Raw genomic sequence first — 1,857 nt, 5'->3', positions numbered from 1 at the left:
TACCTCCCTTCAGCTTAATCTCTCCCACTCTAGGTTCCCACGCCACCCCTAATCCCGCTTGAAGCACCCCTGCGAAACATCGCCCATTCTCTCTCCATACCACCCCCAAAAAATTTTCGCCGCCCCAACACTTCAACACTATTTTGTTTTATTTTTCTTATTAATATAAGAAGGCAGGAATGTCAGGCCTCTGAGCCCAAGCCAAGCCATCGCATCCCCTGTGACTGGCACGTATACGCCCAGATGGCCTGAAGTAACTGAAGAATCACAAAAGAAGTGAATATGCCCTGCCCCACCTTAACTGATGACATTCCACCACAAAAGAAGTGTAAATGGCCGGTCCTTGCCTTAACTGATGACATTACCTTGTGAAAGACCTTTTCCTGGCTCATCCTGGCTCAAAAAGCACCCCCACTGAGCACCTTGCGACCCCCACTCCTGCCCGCCAGAGAACAACCCCCCTTTGACTGTAATTTTCCTTTACCTACCCAAATCCTATAAAATGGCCCCACCCCTATCTCCCTTCACTGACTCTCTTTTCAGACTCAGCCCGCCTGCACCCAGGTGAAATAAACAGCCATGTTGCTCACACAAAGCCTGTTTGGTGGTCTCTTCACACGGATGCACGTGAAACCACACACCTGCAACGAACTCATTTTCAACAAAGGTACCAAGACCATACCCTGGGGAAAAATGTCTTTAATAAATGGTGCTGGGAAAGCTCAATATCCATATGCAGAATGATGAAACTAGACCTCTATCTTTCTATATAAACAAAAATCAAGAACAAAGACTTAAATCTGAGAACTTAAACTATGAAACTACTAAAATAAAACACTGTGGAAACACTTCAGGGCATTGGTTTAGGCAAAAATTTCTTGGAGTAATACCCCATAAGCACAGGGAACCAAAGCAAAAATATACAAATTGGATTACATCAAGTTGAAAAGCTTCTGCACGGCAAAGGATACAGTCAACAAACTGAAGAGACAAACTACAGCAAGGAATGGTTGGTTTCACTAATGAGGACAACAATTTCTTTTTTAAACCAGGTTTCCAGCTCACCTCAGATGGGCTGGTCTTTGAGTGAATATACATGTTTGGCTCTCGAACATTATTTCATTCTACAGCTGCCTCTATTAGGGTAGCACCAGCTTGTATATTACTAGATATCCATTCCTACTCCCACACCTGCCTCAGAATGCATTGTATCTCTCATCTTCTTTCACCTCCAGATAAATCTTCTCAGAACTAGAGTAACAGTAATCAACTTCCCTTTTGGCTGAAACACCTTCTTCCTGGTAACAGAGGACTTAACCACGAATTCTAAAATTATCATTAGAATTCCTCTTGTGTGACCTGTAGTTCTCATGCAGATAGGACCCTTATTGCCAGTATTTCAAGAAATCTTTTTTTCGTTCTGCAGACACTCGATTTTCTTTAGAAAAATAAATGAATAGAAAGAGAAAAGAAAGAAGGAAAGAAAAAGGAAAAAGGGAAAGAAGGAAGATAGGAAGGGAGAAAGGAAAGGAGTGAGGGAGGAAGAAAGGAAAGAAAGGAGGGAGGAAGGAAGTTTAATTGCCCAACATACTCTCCCTCCCAGCTGTCTAGACAGAGCTGATTTATTAAGAAGCGAATTGCAGTCCGGGCACGGTGACTCACACCTGCAATCCCAGCGCTTTGGGAGGACGAGGTGGGAGGATCACGAGGTCAGGAGATCGAGACCATCCTGGCTAACACGGTGAAACCCCGTCTCTACTAAAAATACAAAAACAAAACTAGCTGGGCATGGTGGCGGGGGCCTGTAGTCCCAGCTACTAGAGAGGCTGAGGGGGAGAATGGCGTGAACCCAGGAGG

At 44.4% G+C, this 1,857-nt stretch overlaps 1 annotated feature.

The window, feature by feature from the left end:
- Positions 222 to 973: an enhancer, noted in NCBI's record as "OCT4-NANOG-H3K27ac hESC enhancer chr4:126482433-126483184 (GRCh37/hg19 assembly coordinates)". NCBI's record gives its function as "activates a minimal SCP1, AML or CMV promoter by ChIP-STARR-seq in primed H9 embryonic stem cells {active_cell/tissue: H9 hESC(primed)}" and the evidence as "EXISTENCE:reporter gene assay evidence [ECO:0000049][PMID:30033119]".

Source organism: Homo sapiens, chromosome 4 (assembly GCF_000001405.40).
Source record: "Homo sapiens chromosome 4, GRCh38.p14 Primary Assembly".
In the NCBI taxonomy this organism is placed as follows: domain Eukaryota; kingdom Metazoa; phylum Chordata; class Mammalia; order Primates; family Hominidae; genus Homo; species Homo sapiens.
This window is presented reverse-complemented; position numbering and strand designations above follow the sequence as displayed.